Here is a 23,621-nt window from a genome sequence, read left to right as displayed (position 1 = left end):
AGTATTCAATTAAAACCCACTAGCCATACAAAGAAACAGGAAAAAATGACCCATAGTCAAGAAAAATAAAGTTGTTAATATAAACCAATCTGGAGCTGGTCCAAGCATAAGGCTAAGCAGACAAAGATTTTCAGTGATTATAAATATTTACAAATGATTTTTAAAAAGACTTAAAGGAAAATATAATCTTAATGAGTGAATAGACAGGAAATCTCAGCAGTTAAATAGAAACTACAAGAAAAAATCAAATGAAAAGTCTAAAACTTAGAAGTATAGTAATGAAAAGTCCAATATCTGAAATTTAGAAACTCACTGGATGAGCAAAAGAAAAATTCAGTGACTTTAAAGGCATATAATTGGAAGATATGCAATCTAAAAAAAAAAAATGAAAAAAGCTAAAAAAAAAAAAAATTAACCAAGTCCTAGGATCCTGTGGGACAATATCAAATAATCTGACATACATGTAGTTGAAGTCTCCAAAAGAGAAGAGAGTAATATTGAAGCAGAATATACATATATATATATATATATATATATATATATATATATATATATTTTTTTTTCTTAAGAAGTAACAAAGGGAAGCCCATCAGACTAACAGCTGATCCCTCGGCAGAAACTCTACAAGCCAGAAGAGAGTGGGGGCCAATATTCAACATTCTTAAAGAAAAGGATTTTCAACCCAGAATTTCATATCCAGCCAAATTAAGCTTCATAAGAGAAGGAGAAATAAAATACTTTACAGACAAGCAAATGCTGAGAAATTTTGTCACCACCAGACCTGCCCTAAAAGAGCTCCTGAAGGAAGCACTAAACATGGAAAGGAACAACTGGCACCAGCTACTGCAAAAACATGCCAAATTGTAAAGACCATCGAAGCTAGGAAGAAACTGCATCAACTAATGAGCAAAATAATCAGCTAACATCATAATGACAGGATCAAATTCACACATAACAATATTAACCTTAAATGTAAATGGGCTAAATGCTCCAATTAAAAGACACAGACTGGCAAATTGGATAAAGAGTCAAGACATCAGTGTGCTGTATTCAGGAGTCCCATCTCATGTGCAGAGACACACATAGGCTCAAAATAAAGGGATGGAGGAAGATCTACCAAGCAAATGGAAAACAAAAAAAAGGCAGGAGTTGCAATCCTAGTCTCTGATAAAACAGACTTTAAACCAACAAAAATCAAAAGAGACAAAGAAGGCCATTACATAATGGTAAAGGGATCAATTCAACAAGAAGAGCTAACTATCTGAAATATACATGCACCCAATACAGGAGCACCCAGATTCATAAAGCAAGTCCTTAGTGACCTACGAAGAGACTTAGACTCCCACACAATAATAATGGGAGAATTTAACACCCCACTGTCAACATTAGACAGATCAATGAGACAGAAAGTTAACAAGGATATCCAGGAATTGAACTCAGCTCTGCACCAAGCGGACCTAATAGACATCTACAGAACTCTCCACCCCAAATCAACAGAATATACATTCTTTTCAGCACCACACCACACCTGTTCCAAAATTGACCACATAGTTGGAAGTAAAGCACTCCTCAGCAAATGTAAAAGAACAGAAATTATAACAAACTGTCTCTCAGACCACACTGCAATCAAACTAGAACTCAGGATCAAGAAACTCACTCAAAACCACTCAACTACATGGAAACTGAACAATCTGCTCCTGAATGACTACTGGGTACATAAAGAAATGAAGGCAGAAATAAAGATGTTTTTTGAAACCAACGAGAACAAAGACACAACATACCAGAATGTATGGGACACATTCAAAGCAGTGTGTAGAGGGAAATTTATAGCAATAAATGCCCACAAGAGAAAGCAGGAAAGATATAAAATTGACACCCTAACATCACAATTAAAAGAACTAGAGAAGCAAGAGCAAACACATTCAAAAGCTAGCAGAAGGCAAGAAACAACTAAGATCAGAGCAGAACTGAAGGAAATAGAGACATAAAAAACCCTTCAAAAAATCAATGAATCCAGGAGCTGGCTTTCTGAAAAGATCAACAAAATTGATAGACCGCTAGCAAGACTAATAAAGAAGAAAAGAGAGAAGAATCAAATAGACGCAATAAAAAATGATAAAGGGGATATCACCACCGATCCCACAGAAATAGAAACTACCATCAGAAAATACTATAAACACCTCTACACAAATAAACTAGAAAATCTAGAAGAAATGGATAAATTCCTCGACACATACACCCTCCCAAGACTAAACCAGGAAGAAGTTGAATCTCTGAATAGACCAGTAACAGGCTCTGAAATTGAGGCAATAATTAATAGCTTACCAACCAAAAAAAGTCCAGGACCAGATGGATTCACAGCCGAATTCTAGCAGAGGTATAAGGAGGAGCTGGTACCATTCCTTCTGAAATCATTCCAATCGACAGAAAAAGAGGGAATCCTCCCTAACTCATTTTATGAGGCCAGCATCATCCTGATATCAAAGCCTGGCAGAGACACAACAAAAAAAGAGAATTTTAAACCAATATCCTTAATGATCATCAATGCAAAAATTCTCAATAAAATACTGGCAAGCCGAATCCAGCAACATATCAAAAAGCTTATCCACCATGATCAAGTGGGCTTCATCACTGGGATGAAAGGCTGGTTCAACATATGAAAATCAATAAACATAATCCAGCATATAAACAGAACCAAAGACAAAAACCACATGATTATGTCAACAGATGCAGAAAAGGCCTTTGACAAAATTCAACAACCTTCATGCTAAAAACTCTAAATAAATTAGGTATTGATGGGATGTATCTCAAAATAGTAAGAGCTATCTATGACAAACCCACAGCCAATATCCTACAGAATGGACAAAAACTGGAAGCATTCCCTTTGAAAACTGGCACAAGACAGGGATGCCCTCTCTCACCACTCCTATTCAACATAGTGTTGGAAGTTCTGGCCAGGGCAATCCGGCAGGAGAAGGAAATAAAGGGCATTCAATTAGGAAAAGAGGAAGTCAAATTGTCCCTGTTTGCAGATGACATGACTGTATATTGAGAAAACCCCATCGTCTCAGCCCAAAATCTCCTTAAGCTGATAAACAACTTCAGCAAAGTCTCAGGATACAAAATCAATGTGCAAAAATCACAAGCATTCTTATACACCAATAACAGACAAACAGAGAGCCAAATCATGAGTGAATTCCCATTCACAATTGCTTCAAAGAGAATAAAATACCTAGGAATCCAACTTACAAGGGATGTGAAGGACCTCTTCAAGGAGAACTACAAACCGCTGCTCAATGAAATAAAAGAGGATACAAACAAATGGAAGAACATTCCATGCTCATGGGTAGGAAGAATCAATATCATGAAAATGGCCATACTGCCCAAGGTAATTTATAGATTCAATGCCATCCCCATCAAGCTACCAATGACTTTCTTCACAGAATTGGAAAAAACTACTTTAAAGTTCATATGGAACCAAAAAAGAGCCCTCATTGCCAAGTCAATCCTAAGCCAAAAGAACAAAGCTGGAGGCATCATGCTACCTGACTTCAGACTATACTACAAGGCTACAGTAACCAAAACAGCATGGTACTGGTACCAAAACAGAGATATAGATCAATGGAACAGAACAGAGCCCTCAGAAATAATGCTGCATATCTACAACTATCTGATCTTTGACAAACCTGACAAAAACAAGAAATGGGGAAACAATTCCCTATTTAATAAACGGTGCTGGGAAAACTGGCTAGCCATATGTAGAAAGCTGAAACTGGATCCCTTCCTTACACCTTATACAAAAATTAATTCAAGATGGATTAAAGACTTACATGTTAGACCTAAAACCATAAAAACCCTAGAAGAAAACCTAGGCAATGCCATTCAGGACATAAGCATGGGCAAGGACTTCATGTCTAAAAAACCAAAAGCAATGGCAACAAAAGCCAAAATTGACAAATGGGATCTAATTAAACGAAAGAGCTTCTGCACAGCAAAACAAACTACCATCACACTGAATGGGCAACCTACAGAATGGGAGAAAATTTTTGCAACCTACTCATCTGACAAAGGCCTAATATCCAGAATCTACAATGAACTCAAACAAATTTACAAGAAAAAAACAAACAACCCCATCAAAAAGTGGGCGAAGGATATGAGCAGAGACTTCTCAAAAGAGGACATTTATGCAGCCAAAAGACACATGAAAAAATGCTCATCATCACTGGCCATCAGAGAAATGCAAATCAAAACCACAATGAGATACTATCTCATACCAGTTAGAATGGCGATCATTAAAAAGTCAGGAAACAACAGGTGCTGGAGAGGATGTGGAGAAATAAGAACACTTTTACACTGTTGGTGGGAGGGTAAACTAGTTCAACCATTGTGGAAGTCAGTGTGGCGATTCCTCAGGGATCTAGAACTAGAAATACCATTTGACACAGCCATCCCATTACTGGGTATATACCCAAAGGATTATAAATCATGCTGCTATAAAGACACATGCACACGTATGTTTATTATGGCACTATTCACAATAGCAAAGACTTGGAACCAATCCAAATGTCCAACAATGATAGACTGGATTAAGAAAATGTGGCACATATACACCATGGAATACTATGCAGCCATAAAAAAGGATGAGTTCATGTCCTTTGTAGGGACATGGATGAAGCTGGAAACCATCATTCTCAGCAAACTATCACAAGGACAAAAAACCAAACACCGCATGTTCTCACTCATAGGTGGGAATTGAACAATGAGAACACGTGGACACAGGAAGGGGAACATCACACACTGGGGACTGTTGTGGGGTGGGGGATGGGGGAGGGATAGCATTAGGAGATATACCTAATGCTAAATGATGAGTTAATGGGTGCAGCACACCAACATGGCACATGTATACATATGTAACAAACCTGCACATTGTGCACATGTACCCTAAAACTTAAAGTGTAATAATAAAATAAAAAAAAGAAATAGAGAATTCCATAGAAAAACAAGCATAAACAGTGTACAGACAAATCACAGAAAACAAAACAAAGATAAACATAAATGGCCAACAGGCATTTTTTTATTTTATTTTTTATTTATTTATTTGTTTGTTTATTTATTTAGGAGAACATTTTTATTCAAGAACTGAGTTCCAAAGAAGATTTCTAGGGCAAACACAATTTGTTTTCCCCATAGAAAGTGGTCAATAAATGTCAGTGAGATAATCTGATTGAAAGAGGTATGTGAGATATCTTCAATATTTATGTAAACATAAAGGTACCCAATAAATATGCTATGTTTGTAAATGTTTTGCAGTCCATTTTTTTTAAGCTTGAAGAGTACCATGGTGAATGCCAATGACATTTTCTTGCACCTTTCAAAGGGAATATATGCTTCCCCTACTTCCTACCTATGAAAGTTTCTAATTTGAGAGTTAAGGGATAAAGGAATGCCTTTGTGAACTTGTTATCATTTATATGATATACAATTTTTGGCACAGTTGGTATAAAAATGTGTGACAGAAATATAAGGTATATTGAATATTTATCTCTTGATAATGCCCTGTTTCTGTCTTCTTATTTAACAAAATTGTCTGTGGCACATATTTCGAAAAAATGATTTCATATTTTTAAGGGTTTTCAATTCACAAAATGTCAGTGAAAAAACAATAATATAATAATTATTAGGAAATTTAACAGACCTCTTTTCTAAAAATATTTAAAGTAAAATTGGATATGAAAAAATACACAGAAGTTTAGAAGCACCTGGCAACCTGACAAATAAATTATTGGCAATGAAACTACCAGGGAACATAATTGTTAAAGAAGATAATGAAATTGAATATTAATAAGCTTAATAAACTTGTTTATTTTGACCCCAAATAGGTAAGACCCCAGAGACACAGAAAATTATACCTAGTATGTCCAGACCTGAATATTGTATTCAGTACAATTTATCATGCATGCTTTTAAAGAACTAACCTAACCCATTTTTCCAGCAAGAAGGAGATATATAGAGAAAGTGAGTTATTTTAGAATTTTACTTTTATTGATGTTTGTAATTTATTTGGGTTTGTACCAGAAAAAAACAAGGAAATATTGTTTAACTGGGTGGATATTGGTATACCAGCTGACAAAATAGTGACAAAATGGAAAGTCACACAGGACGACTGGTCCAGTGTTAAACAAATTTGGTTTTAGACGTGGGTGTTTGTCTCCAAGGATCTGGAATTCAAGGGAGGGATTTTTTTATATATAGATTTTAGGTAGATGAATTTGAGAATCATCATGTTATAAGTGATGATGGAAGAGTGAAAGCAAATTAGGTCATCCAAGGGGAGAAATCAGTTGTCTTTTGTCATTTGTGTTGCTGCAATTAATGAGATTATAATGGTATAAACAAAAAATACTGTAAGATCATATCAGCAAAAGATGACTCTGTCTGAGAGAGATTATGGAAGATACCACATAGATGACAACATTAAGATTGAGAAGTTTGGTGTCCTTTTTTTTTTTTTTGAGATGGAGTCTCGCTCTGTCGCCCAGGCTGGAGTGCAGTGGCGCCACCTCGGCTCACTGCAACCTCCCCCTCCCGGGTTCAAGTGATTCTCCTGCCACCAACAGTGTAAAAGTCTTCCTATTTCTCCACATCCTCTCCAGCACCTGTTGTTTCCTGACTTTTTAATGATTGCCATTCTAACTGGTGTGAGATGGTATCTCATTGTGGTTTTGATTTGCATTTCTCTGATGGCCAGTGACGATAGGCATTTTTTCATGTGTCTTTTGGCTGCGTAAATGTCTTCTTTTGAGAAGTGTCTGTTCATATCCTTCACCCACTTTTTGATGGGGTTGTTTTTTTCTTGTACATTTGTTTGAGTTCATTGTAGATTCTGGATATTAGGCCTTTGTCAGATGAGTAGGTTGCAAAAATTTTCTCCCATTCTGTAGGCTGCCCATTCAGTGTGATGGTAGTTTGTTTTGCTGTGCAGAAGCTCTTTAGTTTAATTAGATCCCATTTGTCAATTTTGGCTTTTGTTGCCATTGACAAGCATGTTTTTAAAACTAGAAATAACTTAAATGCCCAATAAGGAAAATAGTTAAATAAATTATAGTACATTCATATTACAGAATACCATAAAGCAATGATAAGGAATAAGGTGAATTTTTATTAAGTGAAAAAAATCAATAACAATATAGGAATGATCACATCTATACAAATACATTGCTACATTTCTACATATAAAATGTATAGGAAAAAGTCTGAAAGAATGCACACCAAATTATTCTGTTTTTAGGAAAAGCAGTAGGATTGGTCAGGGCATGGAATGTCGGCTAAGTGAAGTGAGATTTAAAATTTTTATTCTACATGATTTTCTAGTGTTGGGAATTTTTGACAGTGAGCATACATGCACTTATTACTTGCATAATTCTGAAAACTATTTTAAAAACAACAGAAAATATATGAAAGTCTATTGGTGTATACAGCATTAATAGTAGTGAAAGTTTAACAGAAAAGATCTGAAAATCTCCCAAAGTTATATAGAAACAGATCTAGCTGACACACTGTGTACCTAGAAATGATTTTGGATCTCTTCACAGAGACCCCTATCCCACCAACCTCCAATCCTCCCACCATACATTGATCCCTTTCTATCTGCTTGGATCATTAGCTGTAAATTTAACTTCGAAAAACAAAGTACGTTTAATCATTGTACCCTGAGATCTAACATTCAGAGAGTTTCTTCAGGTGCAAATACATCCCATTCTTGGGCTTGAGGATAAAATGGTTGGGGAAAGTAAGAGGCCTGGTGGGGTCTGGAGTCACTCTGAAGTGGAGCAGAATCAAGGCAATGGTTACCTTTAACTCAATCATGGCAAACTCCTGCCCAATGCAGTTCCTGAAGACAAGAGGGAAAGAAAGTGATACTTGAAAAAATGATGTTTCTTCTGACTATAGTAAAATACTAGTACAATAAGTCTGAAGTACACAGTAAAGTGATATTTTTCCACCAAATGCCATTGAAACTTTTGAACTTTAGACTTAAATTGTTCACTGTGAGAATTTGAGCTGGGAGGCTCCAACATGATGCCTTCCCTATAACAAGGCGGCAGTTGGAGTTACTCATGAAATTATTTCTCTTGCTTTGAAGGTGGACTGCATTGAGCCTATGAGCAGTAGCTTACATTGTGGGACTGCTTTTGAGGCATGGCCAAAAAGGATGTGACAGAGAATACGATTGTCCTTTGTAAAACTAACTGATCCTTTGGGGCTCAAATAGGCACCAAGATCTACGGTTCCCTGGAAGAATGTATAGAGCTGAGGAGCTGAAAGGAATAAACTACTCTCAAGTAAACATCTTTGGGTACTTTCAGCAACTTCAAATTGTTCTCACCTTGATCCAGCTGAGAATGGTAAGTAGGCATAGGGGTGTCTCTGATCAGAATTCTCCTGAGAGAACCTCAAGGGGTCAAAGACCTGAAATGAGAGGACAACCCCAACACCATCCCCCAAACAACATGAACACATTTCTTCACCTACCACCTAGCACCGATCAATAGAAATATAATGTGATCTACATGTGTAATTTAAAATGTTCTGGTGGTCACATTTTTAAAAGGTGAAGTTAATCTTAATAGAGTTTATTTAACCAAAAATTACCATTCCAACCTGTAATCAATATAAATAATTACTAAAAGGAAATGTTTCACATTTTTTTAGGGTACTATGTCTTCAAAATCCAGCACGTATTTTAAACTTACAGCACAACTCAATTCCAACTGGCCACATGTCATGTGCTCAGTAGCCGTATGTGGCCCGTGGCTACTACACTGGGCAGTGTACCTTCAGACCTGCAGACCTTGCAGCTTCACAGCTGATTTGTCTGATACCCAGGCAAACAAAAATACTATGGCAAGTGGTATTATTTTCACTATGGAGATACATCCACTTAGAAATGGATGTGCATCCACTTAGAAATCAAGTCAAAATGATGATGTGGCCAATTATTACAGAGACATATACTCCAGCTTCCTGTTACAAGTAATAGATCTTAAACCTTAGTGGCTTACATGAAAGAAATCACTGATACACGTCAAGAGTGTTTCAAGAACATAGAATAGTTTTACATTTCTTTTGGCTTTTATGTTTATTTTTGTTTAATTTGTGTCATTTCCCTTAATTATATAGCCACTTCTGTGCTTAGCTACCAAAAAGTGACTTGCACAGCATTAGTTCTTGGAAGTATTTATGTACAAGAGAGAATCATACCTTTGGGTTTTTCCAGACAGCAGGGTTGTGGTGAAGACCCCAAATACTAAGAACCACGGTGATCCCTAAGAAAGGAGGGAAATAAAAGAGACTGCAGGAGAAAGAGCAAGTTGTGGGCTACTGTGCTCTTAAACAAGACTTTTGTTCTTGAAGGGAAGAGCTAGCTCCTGGCAATGCTCTGCCTGCTGTAGCTGATGACACCAGTGAGGAGCACCTAAGAAGATGCGGCTTGGGTTGGCACCTTAGCTTTCCACACAACAATTTACTGAATTCATGATTCTATCTTAAGTAGCTGTTGGTGTCATATCAAAGTGATAAACCATGCTTATATTTTCTGCTATGTTTGGAAATTACTTAAATATTTGTTTTTTGTTTTTGTTTAGAGTCAGGGTCTGGCCTGTCAATCAGGCTGGAGAGCAGTGGCGTGAACATTGCTCACGGTAACCTTGAACTTCTGAGCTCAAGTGATCCTCCTGCCTCAGTCCCCCAAGTAGGCAGGAATACAAGCATGCAACACCATGCCTGGCTATCTCTCTCTTTTTTTTTTTTTGTAAAGACAGGGTCTCCCTATGTTGCCCAGGCTAGTCTCAGACTCCTAACTTCAAGCAGTCTTCCCACCTTGGTGTCACAAAATATTGGGATTATATGCGTCAGCCACTGTGCCTGGCCTAAATACCTATTAATGGACTATTAAGCACTCCTGGAGACAATTTAGGTATAAAAGCACAGAACTGGCTGGGTGCAGTGGCTCATGGCTGTAGTCCCAGCGCTTTGGGAGGCTGAGGAGGGCTGGTCTCGAGATCAGGAGCTTGAGACTAGCCTGGCCAACATGGTGAAACCCCATCTCTAATAAAAATACAAAAATTTGCCAGGCGTGGTGTGCACCTGTAATCCCAGCTACTCGGGAGGCTGAGGCAGGAGAACTGCTTAAACCTGGGAGGCAGAGGTTGCAGTGAGCCGAGATTACGCCACTGTACTCCAGCCTGGGCTACATAGCAAGACTCTGTCTTGAGAGGAAAACGCACACACACACACACAGAACTGTGATTCTGTCATGCAGATCCCATGACAAATTTCCATTGGTGCTATTCACATATGGAAAGTGGAGAATTTTGGCAAATATCCATGTGGTTTGGGGAGAAACAGAGTACAAAACAAAGGAGAGAGAATGTGAGGGTTATTTGGTTTCCAGAAATAATTCTAGCTTCCAGAAATTAATTCTGGGTCTGTCAGCAAAGTTACAGTAACAGGCTGTAGGTGTTTGCCAGAAGCAATCCTGTTGGCTTGCTTCCTAAGACATGAATTAATAGAACATTGAATCAGATAATATGTCTCACATGACCCCTCTGCTTCCTATAAGCCCTGCTCAGAAACCTGTGTTGTTCCGAAGAACTCTAGGCTCCAGACTCAGGGTCTCCGCACAAGTTCTAGCTCTGCTCACATCAGTTAATGTCATCTACACATTGGGGCTGCCTCTGGATTTTGGGCCACATTGAAAGTACTTAAAAGTGTTCAGTGAACTGTAAATCATTGTATAAGCGTCTGTTAACATTGGATTCCAAGGGGAAAAATGAGATAATGGGTCTGAAGGCTCTATATTAACTATTAAATGTTGTATATTTATAAGGGTGATATTATGATGATGAGGCCAAAGATCCCCCTTGGTCTTTCAGATAAAGATGCTGGTGCTATTTTCCATGAAGTTTCAGCTCGGTCTCAAACTCAGCCAAACAAAGATTATCTTAGAAATGATGTCCCACAATGGAAGAGACCCTGGGCTGGGATTCCAGAGACATGGATTCTGGGCTTAGCTTTGCTGCAACTGGCTATGTGCCTTTGGGAAAGTCATTGAAATTCATGTCTGACCAAAGCATTATCCTCTGAGCTCCTCATAGGTGATAAAACCTAAGTCACATGTTAGCATTATCTTTTGACTTCTCCAAGTGCTAAGAGACTCACTAATCTTTGTCACTGTGGTCTCCAGGATCCCATAGCCTCTAAGAACTGCTTAGGAAAAGAATGTAAAGACCTGCAGGCAATGTGCATCCATCTGGGAAGGTAAGTGGCTTGCTGAGATCTCTGGAAATGGACGGGACTGCAGGAATCAATCGGCACGTCTCCTTGATGCACATTGTGGTGTACGACATCTCACCCAGCTGGTCCCTGTGAGGATGAGGGAGGGAAGGGACTCAGATATCATAACCAGTTTACTTTTTTTCTGTTTTCTGTTTGTTCCTGGTAATTATTACCCTCAGGTTAAAGCCATTTTGCCACTGGTTTATGTAACAGAATGTTAAAATGGGACTCTCTGCCTCAGGATGAGCTGAGGTCCCAGAGGCAGAGGAACCAAAGAAATATATCATATATCCTTATTATAAAGTGAGCTGCTAAACTAGCAGTAAAACATTTGCTAAGGAGATTTCTAAAAACCAGTTTTGTAACTCTTAGCTCATCATATAAAGTAATAATACATAAAAATGGCGAAGGATTAAAGAGGAGAGGCTTAAGAATTTTGAGAGAAAAAATTATTTAAAGTGTTGTTGGAATGCCAGAGTGCCATGGAAAAGGAAGGGTGCTTCCCCCATCTTAAACAAGAGGCTTCAAGAGGATCACTTAGATGATCTGACTTGTGCTCCTTGGAGTTTGGGGAGTACAGGACTGATGTGAAAGGCTATAACTCAGAACAGACAGAAAGGCAGAGGACAGCAGCAGAGGCAAGGCAAGGATGTGCAACTGTGTCCTTAAACCAATTAACTGGCAAGAGGGAAAGCTCTGGGACCAGCTTGAAAAAGAGTCTGCCTAAGGACAATTATTCTCTTGTCCCCTGAATCACCTCTGGAAAGTTCTAGTGAGAGAGTCTCCAAGAAAGGGAGTTTCCTCTTGAGAGAAAGGGAAGCATGGAATATCCACCAAGCCCTTTGGCATGATCACAATAGTACCAGCCCTTTACTCCTTATCCCCTTTCCTCCTAAAACCATTCCTGGAGGGCCCAGAAACAGCAGCTACTGGGTATTGGGGAGCTAGTCAGTAAGAATAAGTCGATGATAAACCACTGCTGGCTTCTAGGACCAAAGAAGTACCAAGCTGGGATGGAAAGAAGAGCTCAAGTGGATAAGTATTTGAAAGTTTCAGTATTACACTGGGCCAGATAGTTTAATTACTGACCTAAGATTGTTCTTGTGATTTAAATGAATGAGAACTCTATGAGACTTACTCAGGATCTTTCCCCAGAGATAAAAAGAACTTGCTCCACAAAGCAGGTTTAAAGTTTATAAGTGGAAGAAGAATAAAGTTTTTTTTAAATTTGCATCCTACCTAGTCTGCATCCAATCTAGTCAGATTGGTTCCATAAAATGACTGCATATATTTAGTCTGTTTATCTTATTGTGTTTTTATATGTTTTTCTGATTACTTATTTTGAATGCAGGCTTTGGCCATTAGGTAATGTGAAATTTTAATTTTGAATTCTTTCTTCCTCAAGCTCAGGATAAATAAGAGTAATTCTGGCCAGGCGCAGTGGCTCACACCTGCAATCCCAGCACTTTGGGAGGCCTAGGTGGGCGGATCATCTGAGGTCGGGTGTTCAAGACCAGCCTGACCAACATGGAGAAACCCCGTCTCTACTAAAAATGCAAAATTAGCCGAGCATGGTGGTGCATGCCTGTAATCCCAGCTACTCAGGAAGGCTGAGGCAGAAGAATCGCTTGAACCTGGGAGGCAGAGGTTGCGGTAAGCTGAGAGATTGCGCCACTGCACTCCAGCCTGGGCAACAAGAGTGAAACTCGGTCTCAGAAAAAAAAAAAAAGAGTAATTCTGCTTACCCTGGCACTTTGCATAATTAAAAAAACAATTTTGTCCATTTCAATCATGGAACAAAAGTTATATTTCAAAATGAAGCAGAGGTAAAGACATCTCCAGATAAACAAAAGTTGAGGGTGTTCACCACTACTAGACCCATCTTACAAAAAATGCTAATGTGAATTCTCCAAGTTGAAATGAAAGAATACTAATTAACAACATGAAAATTGAAAACAAAAATCTCACTGATAAAGGTAAATACATAGTCAATTTAGAATACCCTAATAATGTAGTGGTGGTATGTTAATTAATTCTATCTCTAGTATAAAGTTAAAAGCCAAAACTATTAAAAATGACTGTTGCTACAATAATTTGTTAAGGGATACACAATAAGGGGACACATCTCCAAAACTAGGTAAATTATGACATCAAAGACATAAAATGGAGGGCAGTTGGTAGAGTAAAAGTGTATAGTTTTTTTAAGTGTTGAAAGTTAAGCTGTTATCAGTTTAAAATAGCCTTTTATAACTATGCTTTATGTAACCCTCATGGTAACCACAAAGCAAAAACCTATAGTAGAGCAACAAAAGATAAAAAGTAAAAATCAAAGTACACCACTAGAGAAAAGCACCTAATCACAAAGGAAAAGAGTAAGAGAGGATGAAAGGAACAAAAGATCTATAAAACATCAAGAAAACAATTAACAAAATGGCAGTAGTAAGTCCTTGTCTGTCAATAATTACCTTGAATACAAATGAATTAAATTCTCTAATCAAAAGGGTGGCTGAATGAATGAATAAAACAAGACCCAAGCATATGCCCCTACAGCATCTCATTTCATCTTTAAGAACACACATAGAGTGAATGCGAAGGGTTGGAAAAAAATATTCCATGCAAATAGAAACCAAAAGAGAGCAAAGGTAGCTGAACTTTTATCAGACAAATTAGGCTTTAAGACAAAAACTGTAAAAAGAGACAAGAAGACCATTATATAATGAGAAAGGGGTCAATCCATCAGGAGGATATGATAGTTGTAAATAAATATGTACCCAAAATAGGAACACCTAAATATATAAAGCTTTAAATATTAACCCTATTCAACAAATTGTACTGGGATAATTGGCAAGCCACATGTAGAAGCATGAAACTGGATCCTCATCTCTCACCTTATACAAAAATCAACTCAAGATGGATCAAGGACTTAAATCTAAGACCTGAACCATAAAAATTCTAGAACATCAGAAAAACCCTTCTAGATATTGGCTTAGGCAAAGACTTCATGACCAAGAACCCAAAAGCAGATGCAAAACCAAGCCAAAACAAAACAACCCCAAAAAACAACAACAACGAAAAGATAAATAGGTGGGACTTAATTAAACTAAAAAGTTTCTGCACAGCAAAAGAAATAATCAGCAGAGTAAACAGACAACCCAAAGAGTGGGAGAAAATCTTCACAACCTACACATCCAACAAAGGTCTAATATCCAGAATCTACAGGGAACTCAAATTAGCAAGAAAAAAACAAATAATCCCATCAAAAAATGGACAAAGGACATGAATAGACAATTCTCAAAAGAAGATGTACAAATGGCCAACAAATATATGAAAAAATGCTCAACATCACTAATGATCAGGGAAATGCAAATCAAAACCACAGTGCAATACCACCTTACTCCTGCAAGAATGGCCATAATCAAAAAATCAAATAATAATAGATGATGGTGTGGATACAGTGAACAGGGAACACTTCTACACTGTTGGTGGGAATGTAAACTAGTACAACCACTATGGAAAACAGTGTGGAGATTCCTTAAAGAACTAAAAGTAGAACTACCATTTGATCCAGCAATCCCACTACAGGGTATCTACCCAGAGGAAGAGAAGTCATTATATGAAAAAGACACTTGCACCTGCATGTTTGTAGCAGCACAATTCGCAATTGTAAAGACATGGAACCAGTCCAAATGCCCATCAATCAAGAATGGATAAAGAAATTGTGGGATGTATATACTATGGAATACTACTCAGCCATGAAAAGGAACAAAATAAAGGCATTCGCAGCAATCTGGATGGAATTGGAGACCAATATTCTAAATGAAGTAACTCAGAAATGGAGAACCAAACATTATATGTTCTCACTCATAAGTGGGAGCTAAGCTATGAGGATGCAAAGGCATAAGAATGATACAATGGACTTTGGGGACTTGGGGGAAATGGTGGGAGGGAGGTGAGGGATACAAGACTACAAATTGGGTACAGTGTATACTGCTTAGGTGATGGGTGCATCAAAATCTCACAAATCACCACTAAAGAACTTACTCATAACCAAACACCACCTGTTACCCAAACCCTATGGAAATAAAACAATTAAATTAAGAAAAAAACACTGGTGAAAGAAATTGAAGAAAACACAAATTGCAAAATACCCTGTGTTCATTAATTGGAAGCATTAATACTGTTAAAATATCCATACTACCCAAAGATTCAATGCAATCTCCATCAAAATTCCAATGGCATTATTCACAGTAATCGAAAAAAAAAAAAAGCCCTAAAATTCGTATGGAATAAAAAAACTCAAATAGCCAAAGCAATTTTGAGCAAAAAGAGCAAAGCTGGAGGCATCATACTACCTGATCTGAAATTGACTACAGAGCTCTAGTCACCAAAACAGCATAGAGCTTCTAAAAAAAGAGACATATAAACTAATAAAACAGGATAAAGAGTCCAGAAATACACCCACACATTTATTGTCAACTGATCTACAAAGGTTCCAGTAACATACAGTGGTGAAAGGGCAGTATCTTCAATAAATGGTGTTGAGAAAACTGGATATGCACTAGTAGAAGAATAAAAGTGGACCTTTATCTCACTCCATATACAAAAATCAACTAAAAATGGATTAAAGATTTAAACATATGACCTGAAACTATAAAACTACTAGAAAAAAACATAGAGAAAAGCTTCTTGATATTATTCTTGGCAATGATTTTTTGGATACAACTCTGGAAGTATAGTCAACAGAAGAAAAAATAGATAAATGGTTTTGCAGCAAACTAAAAAGCTTCTGCACAACAAAGGAAACAATCAACATAGTGAAGAGACAACTTAAAGGATGGGAGAACATGTCTGCAAATGATACATCTGATAAGGGGTTAATATTCAAAATATATGAGGAACTCACACAATTCAAAAGCAAGAAAACAAATAACTAGATTTAAAAATGAGAAAAACCTAAAATAACATTCCTACAAAGAAGACATGAATGGCCAGCAGGTATTTAAAACAATGCTCAACATCACTAATCATCAGGGAAACGTAAATTAAAACCATAATGAGACATCACCTCATGCTCATTAGAATGGTTATTACCAAAAAGACAAATGTTGGTGAGGATGTGGAGAAAACAGAACCCTTATACACTTTTGGTTGGAATGTAAATTAGTACAGCCATATGGAAAATTGTACGGAGTTTCCTCAAAAAATTAAAAATAGAACTACCATATGATGCAGCAATTCCACTTCTGGATATACAACCAAACGAAATGAAATCAGTGCATTGAAGAGACATCTACATTCCCATGTTCATTGCAGCATTATTCACAATAGCCCAGATATAGAAATCAACTTAAGTGTCCATCACTGGATAAATGGATAAAGAAAACATGGTATATATATAAACAATGGACTAACAATTAGCCATAGAAAAGACAAATATCTTGTCATTTATGACAACAGAGATGAATTTGGATGACATTATGCTAAGTGAAATAAGCCAGGCACAGAAAGACAAATTCCACATGATCTCACATGTGGAAATCTAAAACATTAAACTCAAAGAAGCAGAGAGTAGAACAGTGGTTACCAGGGGCTGTGGGAGAATGGGGGATTACAGGGATGTTAGTCAAAGGATACAAAATTTCAGTCAGACAGGAGGCATAAGTTTAGGAGATGCATTGTACAATATGTGATTGGAGTTACTAACAATTTGTATACTTGAAAATTGCTAAGAGGGTAGATTTTAAATGTCCTTACCACAAAAAAATGATAAGTATGAGTTAATGAACATGTCCATTGATAGATTTAGTCATTCCACAGTGTATACATATATCAAAATATCATGTTGTACATCATATATATATACACACATACATATATATATAACATGTATATGCACAATTTTTGTCAGTTAAAAAATAAATTAAAAATGATTACTCAACATTGTATTTTGTGCTATATAGATTAAATCTTTAGTTTATGGTAGGAAAGGGCTTCTATTTCCTTATAAAATGAGATCTCTGATATACTTTTATAATGTCAAATTTGGTTTTACAAATGTTTCAATTGAGTTGACTTTTGCATATGAAATATGGTGTTTTTTATCTGGTCATGCTGCTGAATTGTCCTTAGCATTTCTGTCTTTCTGTCCCTTTGACCAGATTATGTCAGGAACACATTTTATCTTTGCAAACAGCATAACCTGGGCTTTATTAACAGCAGTATATGCTTAAAGTCTAGCAAGATAGAGATGACAGTTTCCACCTGGCTAACTCCTACTTATCCTGCAGTCAGCGTAAATGTCAAGGAAGTCTCCTTGAGCTCCCATGCCAGGGTAGGTACCTGTCTTCTATGTCTTTGTGTTAGCCAGCACATATCTCTATCATTGCCCTCATTATGCTACACTGCAATTTGGAGGTCTGTCTCCTGTCTCCTGTATTAGACCATTAGCTCACCGAAGACAGGGCCCACAATAAATTGTAGTCATAAAAAAAGTCTCAGTATTTAAAATGTCCTCAGTCCATATTTGCTAAACTTAACTATAGTATATATCATCGAATATTATGTCTGAAGTCTAAAATCAATCCTGAGGAATAAAATTGGTGACAAGCGGCTGGGAGATGTCTAAAATGAGCCTTAAATAATGCAGCTAATCATTCAGCTCTCTCAGAAGAGGAGCTCCACTTGGACCCTATTGTTTAAGTTCTAAGTGCCAGCCCAGGGATCAAGTCCTCATTTCCAATGCATCAGAGCCAAGGTGAAATAAAGAAATAAGACATTTCACACACCATTGATTAGAAAACCAATGACAGACAATTTATGGATAAATAAACTTTTTTTTTTTTTCCTGAAAGACAAGAGAATAATTTGGAGCTCTCTTTAGAAAGAACAGAAAAGTAGCCTACTTCTTCTGTTTCACCTACACATATCCTGAGGCACTAGGGTCACTAAGGTACCAGCGCAAAAAATAAAGCAAAATCTCAGGGGGAAAACTAGCAGGAAAATTTAGGGGTGCAGATCTTACCAAGTGATAGAAGACCCATCCCCCAGGATGCCCCTGACCTCCTCCCGGCATCTCTCTTGATGCTCAGGGTTCAGAGCCAGGCAGTAAAGGATCCAGGAGATGCTTGCTGCCAAGGTGTCATGTCCTGCCAACAGGAATGTGCTCACTTCAGAGTGTACATCAATATCTGAGAAGCTGCTACCACTTTCATCCTAGAAAGTACAATACAAATATTTTAAATAAAATGCCAGTTTATAAATGTTTGGAGATACAACCACAATAATGATTTGAGGGGAAAAATCAGAGCTTTAAATAGGGGTTTAAATTTTAATTCAGTTCAACAAATATGTGGTATAAACCATATTCTGCCCAAAGCATAAAGGAGAACCAAGGTTAGATAAGAAAAGCAGGCCTTGCACAAAGGGCCCTCAATCAACAGGCCCTAGAAATTCTCTTCAAACTCCCAGATTTCCCAGGACCTTATCATCATAATTTTTACGTTTATCCATGTGACCATTTTTTCATGATGCCCTAAAATCCATGTATCCATATGACAATCCTCAAATCTTGTCAAATCGTTCGTTTAGTCTTTACTAACCCTCCTCTAGCGACACAGTTGCAGAATTCTCTCTTTGTCTCAAATTGCATGAAGCTGCTCATCAATTCAAAGTACAGTTAAATTTAGTCAATCGGTTTTATTCTTGTCTCCCCATCCCATTCCCACTTACCCACCTACTTACATAATTAACTGGTCACTTGAGCAGGCTTAGAAATTTAGAAGATTTACCTTGGCAGAAAGGACAATATCCAGAAAATCCTGGTACTTCCTCTTCGGAGTGTTATCCTGCTTTACCCCAGCCTGGAGGGATTTCTTTCTTTCCTGGATTATTGTATCTGGGTAGAAAAATAGTTTCCAATTACCAAAGTGATGGCAAAGTCAAATAAATTATAAAGCAAGCCATGGTTAGTGAATAGCTTCAAATCTTGCCTGATTTCCAGACGTTTAAATAGATCTAATTTTCACAGATGGTTTATTTTCTCATCAAAGGGACTTTTGATTAAAGCTCCAAAGATAAACAACACAAATAAAAAACATAGTTTCCATCAGTATGTGGGCAATAAAATTAAGATGATTTCAAGTTTAGATGCAAGTGACCAATTATTCTTTTCTTCCTCAGTCTAATATTTTATCTTCACGGAAAAGTTATTAAATAAAATGGAATGAAATAGAAGACAGGCAAAGAAATGCCAATATATTTATAATTGAAGGAGCTGAGAGAAAAAAAACAAAACAAAAATATGGAACAGAGGTAATATTTATTTACTATTTAAAAAATTTCAACTTTTATTTTAGATACAGGGGTACATGTACAGGTTTGTTACATGGGTAATATGAGAACTCTCTGTACTTTCTGCTGAATTTTTCTGCAAACCTAAAACTTTTCTAAAAATAAGGTCTATTAATGTTGAAAAAAGCCACAAAATCTCCTTAATTAAAACAGTGTGATTCTGGTACATTGGTAGATAGATCAATGGAATACACGAGAACATCCAAATATACTCTTATCCAAAACAGATACCAGTACATGTATCCGTTTAGAATGTGATGGTTATCTCAAATCACTTGAAAAGATAAACTTTTAAATAATGGTGATGGGACAACTGGATAAACATTTGGAAAAATTAGATCAATACCTCACACCATATATAGGAATAAATTCTAAATGGAGTTTAGATCTCTGATTTAAATATGAAAATAATGAAATTATACAAGTACTACAAGAAAACATAAATAATTTTCTCTACAACCTGGGTACAGGGCAGTGGTTCTCAACTGGGGGCCCTGGGAACATTCAATAATGTCTGGAGTTATTTATGGTTGCTATAACTATCAGAGCTCTACTACATCGAGTGGGTAGATGTCAGGGATGTAGCTAAACATCCTACAATGCACACATCTTGACAACAAGGACTTATCTAATCTAAGAAGCCATTAGTGCTGAGGGTTGAGAAACCCTGGAATAGAGAATGGCTTTTTGTGATTACTAAAAATCCAGATGCAATAAAATAAAATATTGATATATTTGACTAAATAAAAATAAACAATTTAAAAAAATTAGCCAGGTGTGGTGGCAGTGCCTGTAATCCCAGCTACTCAGAAGGCTGAGGTAGGAGAATTGCCTGAACCTGGGAGGTGGAGGTTGTAGTGAGCTGAGATCACACCACTGCGCTCCAGCCTGAGTGATAGAGACTCCATCTCAAAAAAAAAAAAAAAAAAAAATTGAAAAGGTTTTAAGTTTTGAATAAATTTAACATTTAATATTTTCCCTAACACTTTGCATTTTGCTTTTTCATCATAATTGTATAATATTTAAAAAGTAAAGATTTTTTTTTACAAAGTTCTGTATAGCTTCCCCCAAATCCATTCCTGTTTACTCCAATGAAGCACAAAAACATTAACATTTTCTGTGTGTGCAATGATGCAGAAAGACTTGGGAACTGCTGCTATTTATAATGCCCATTTATGCCTTAAATTGTTTATAACCTGCTTCTCTGAGTGTCCTCTTTATAATATCTATGTGCATGTATGCATATATGTATGTGTAAGTGTGCATATGTTGGTGTGTCTTGCAAAATTCCTGGAAGCAAAGACATTTGACATAACTATACTTTACATTTAACATCTATTCAGTGCCAGGCACTGTCCTAAATGCTTTATATATATTAACCCACTCATCGTAACAACAAATGTATGAGATAGGTTCTTTTTTAATCTCCATTTTATAGATGACACTGAAACAAAGCAGTAAGTAACTTACTAGTAACTGCTAGTAAGTGGTGAAGCTGATGAAGGATTAATTCACTGCTTGATAAGTATTCTCCATTATGGCATTCATGACAAGTAATGTTGAATTGCTTAAAAAGCTTAATCTATTTCAACTTTTGTGTTTATGCTTGCTAAAACTGTTTTTGAATCAATATTCTTTCGGGTGCATGTCCATGTTTACTCTGTTCCACTCTCCATTCCTATGTTGCATGAATGTTTTTAGCTTGTCATTATTATTACTGCAATCGCTGTGCAAAAAGCCATATTCCATGTATGTCTGGAACTCTTAAGTGCCTACTTATATTTGTATTAATAATAATTGTCCATAATAAAAATAGTGTATATATATATATATAAAAATTCTGATAATACTGCTATGGTTGAAGCAAAGTCTTATAAAGGACTCAAGTCAAATTTCTTTGGAGCAGTGTCTATATAAAAGCTCCATTAATAACAAAGATTCTTTCTCTTGTCATATTAAGGTTTATCCCTCTAGACAGACACAGTACAATCATGGCAGCGTATGGACGTGGGCAACCCAAACCCAACAAATACCTGTGTACTGATTCAACACTCGGCTTAACTTCTGGAAGCGGTAGCCCTGAGGGCTGAGTTTGAAAATTATGTCACTGTGATACAACAAACTGTACAAGCGGTGAAATATGATTTTGCTGAGTTCAAATATGGCTTTTGCATAAGGATCATGGGTGCTAGAAGAGAAAGTTGGGATAATGTGTTAATAAACAACTTAGAAAATGTGAAGAAATATCTTTTTTGCTCTCCCACCACTGACCTGTTTGTCTGGCAGTTGGTCTCCTTGCTGAAAGCGCATTTCATGATTATATCCAGAGACATCGAGTTGATGTGCTCATAGACCTCCACGCTTGTGTCCTGAGTGCTGCAAATCTTCTCCCACTTATCCTGGCACAGGAGGTCAAGACCAACATCATCACCACCACCATGACCAAATTGCCTTCATTTGAAGGCTCCTGCCTGGCCCTGTTTTTATGATCTAATGGAGACAACCCTGACCCAGCAGGAACCAAAGATCACATGAGTAAATAAGCCATGTGCTTACACAGGGCACGAGGAAGGGAAAAATACACCCAGCGGAGTGAGAAGGAGCATGGAGAAAACTGCATATATGGTAAATGGCTGAGTTAAAGATCTGCGGCTTTTCAATTATTACCATAACTCTGCTTTCAAACAGACCAGAGTTCCATTAAAGCAATCATTGACACAAGACCCATAATTACAAGGGGTTTACCCCAGGGCTTCCTCCAACTTCAATTCCAAACTTGCTAGGTACCCTGCCACTGCTCTCAACCACCATAGCCACATTTAAAATAAACTCAGAACATTTTCAAAAACGTTTGGATTCAAAAGTGAGAAACAGAGCAAGTGTGGAGAGGAGCTGCTGCAGGGAGCTGCCCCCAGCAAAGCCTGACCTGGCTTAACTTCCCCACAAAGAGACCTACTTATACTGCTTGAAATGCTTTGCCTGACATTTTTAAACTGTCACAAGGTCCCTGGTTGAAAATGTATTTGTATAATAAGCATACTTTGTGTAAAAATTAAAATAAATTGAAATTTTAAAAGTTCAGGTCGACCGATAGGTCTTAAGCACCTAGCCCCTAGCTTAAGACCTATCGGTCAACCTGAACTTTTAAAATTTCAGAGACTTGGCAACCACAAAGGCAAAGAGAATTTTAAAAACTTTTTCCTAAGTGCAAATTGTTTAGTCAAAGAGCCTTTTTCTCAATTACGTAAGTTTTACTAAGAACAAATGGTGAATGTAGAAGAAATGAGAACAGGAGGGAGGCTTCCAAGCTTGAAAAACTCTGGAATGATGCAGCAGAGGAAGGAAGTGTGAGAAAAATCCCGGAGAAATATGTGGCTGAGAAATGAGGAGGGGAGGAAGCGCTCCGAGAAATAGAGAGAAAACTCTAATGCAACTCCAGTGCAGTCACTGGAGGATCTGAAACTGTGCTGCACCTGAACAGCACTAGAGTCACAAAAGGATGCTCTTCTCTCTCACTAGCTTGCACTGCACAGTCTCTGGGTCTCTGCCTTGAGAACTCACACTGATGTTTTTACCACAGTCCTGGCTGACTTCGGGTTCAAACTGCTTCTGTGAGTTTGGCTGAGAACCCAATCATTGAGCTGGTAACAGAGGTTTGTATGGGAACAGGGATGGGTTTGCACATGAAGTGAGAGGAAAACTTTGTCTTTGTTTGTGGTGTTTGAGGTGTCTATGATGAAAGTGTATTAGTGAATTACTTGTCTTATTTCAAAATAAATATGATTTAAAAATTGAAGCCATTGTACAAATAGAGTTTTGGAATAGAACTCGTTTATAAATCAGAGACCACTCACAGGAATGTTCTTCAGCCCCTTTGAAAGGTGTAGGTCAGGGCCTAATGATCCTCCACTATCTACAAGAGGAAATTCACATCT

The 23,621-nt window shown here is 37.2% G+C and overlaps 2 protein-coding genes across 6 annotated transcripts in view; both read right to left on the bottom strand.

The window, feature by feature from the left end:
• The window catches only part of CYP4Z1 (cytochrome P450 family 4 subfamily Z member 1), a 62,794-nt gene extending 60,428 nt beyond the window's left edge, over positions 1–2,366 (bottom strand). Inside the window, exon 1 of the mRNA XM_024453856.2 lies at positions 2,326–2,366. The gene's annotated coding sequence lies outside the window, so the exon portion shown is untranslated. The remainder of the gene's footprint in view (positions 1–2,325) is intronic.
• Positions 2,459–23,621, bottom strand: part of CYP4X1 (cytochrome P450 family 4 subfamily X member 1) — a 94,069-nt gene continuing 72,906 nt past the window's right edge. For 3 of the 5 annotated variants that reach the window (NM_001320289.2, NM_001320290.2, NM_178033.2), the window contains exons 5-12: positions 21,958–22,085; positions 21,720–21,874; positions 19,125–19,231; positions 18,359–18,549; positions 11,291–11,424; positions 9,262–9,326; positions 8,387–8,469; positions 7,140–7,891 (exon numbers count right to left, since the gene is read on the bottom strand). In NM_001320289.2, coding sequence (NP_001307218.1) covers positions 7,717–7,891; positions 8,387–8,469; positions 9,262–9,326; positions 11,291–11,424; positions 18,359–18,549; positions 19,125–19,231; positions 21,720–21,874; positions 21,958–22,085 — 1,038 coding nt within the window. In that variant the 3' untranslated portion in view covers positions 7,140–7,716. Of the gene's footprint in view, positions 2,488–7,139; positions 7,892–8,386; positions 8,470–9,261; positions 9,327–11,290; positions 11,425–18,358; positions 18,550–19,124; positions 19,232–21,719; positions 21,875–21,957; positions 22,086–23,621 lie in introns of those variants that run through there. The other 2 variants (XM_017000973.3, XM_047417352.1) reach the window with 2 other exon arrangements.

This window comes from Homo sapiens, chromosome 1 (assembly GCF_000001405.40).
Source record: "Homo sapiens chromosome 1, GRCh38.p14 Primary Assembly".
NCBI lineage: Eukaryota > Metazoa > Chordata > Mammalia > Primates > Hominidae > Homo > Homo sapiens.
Note: the sequence above shows the minus strand (reverse complement) of the source record. Positions and strands in the feature narration are given on the sequence as shown.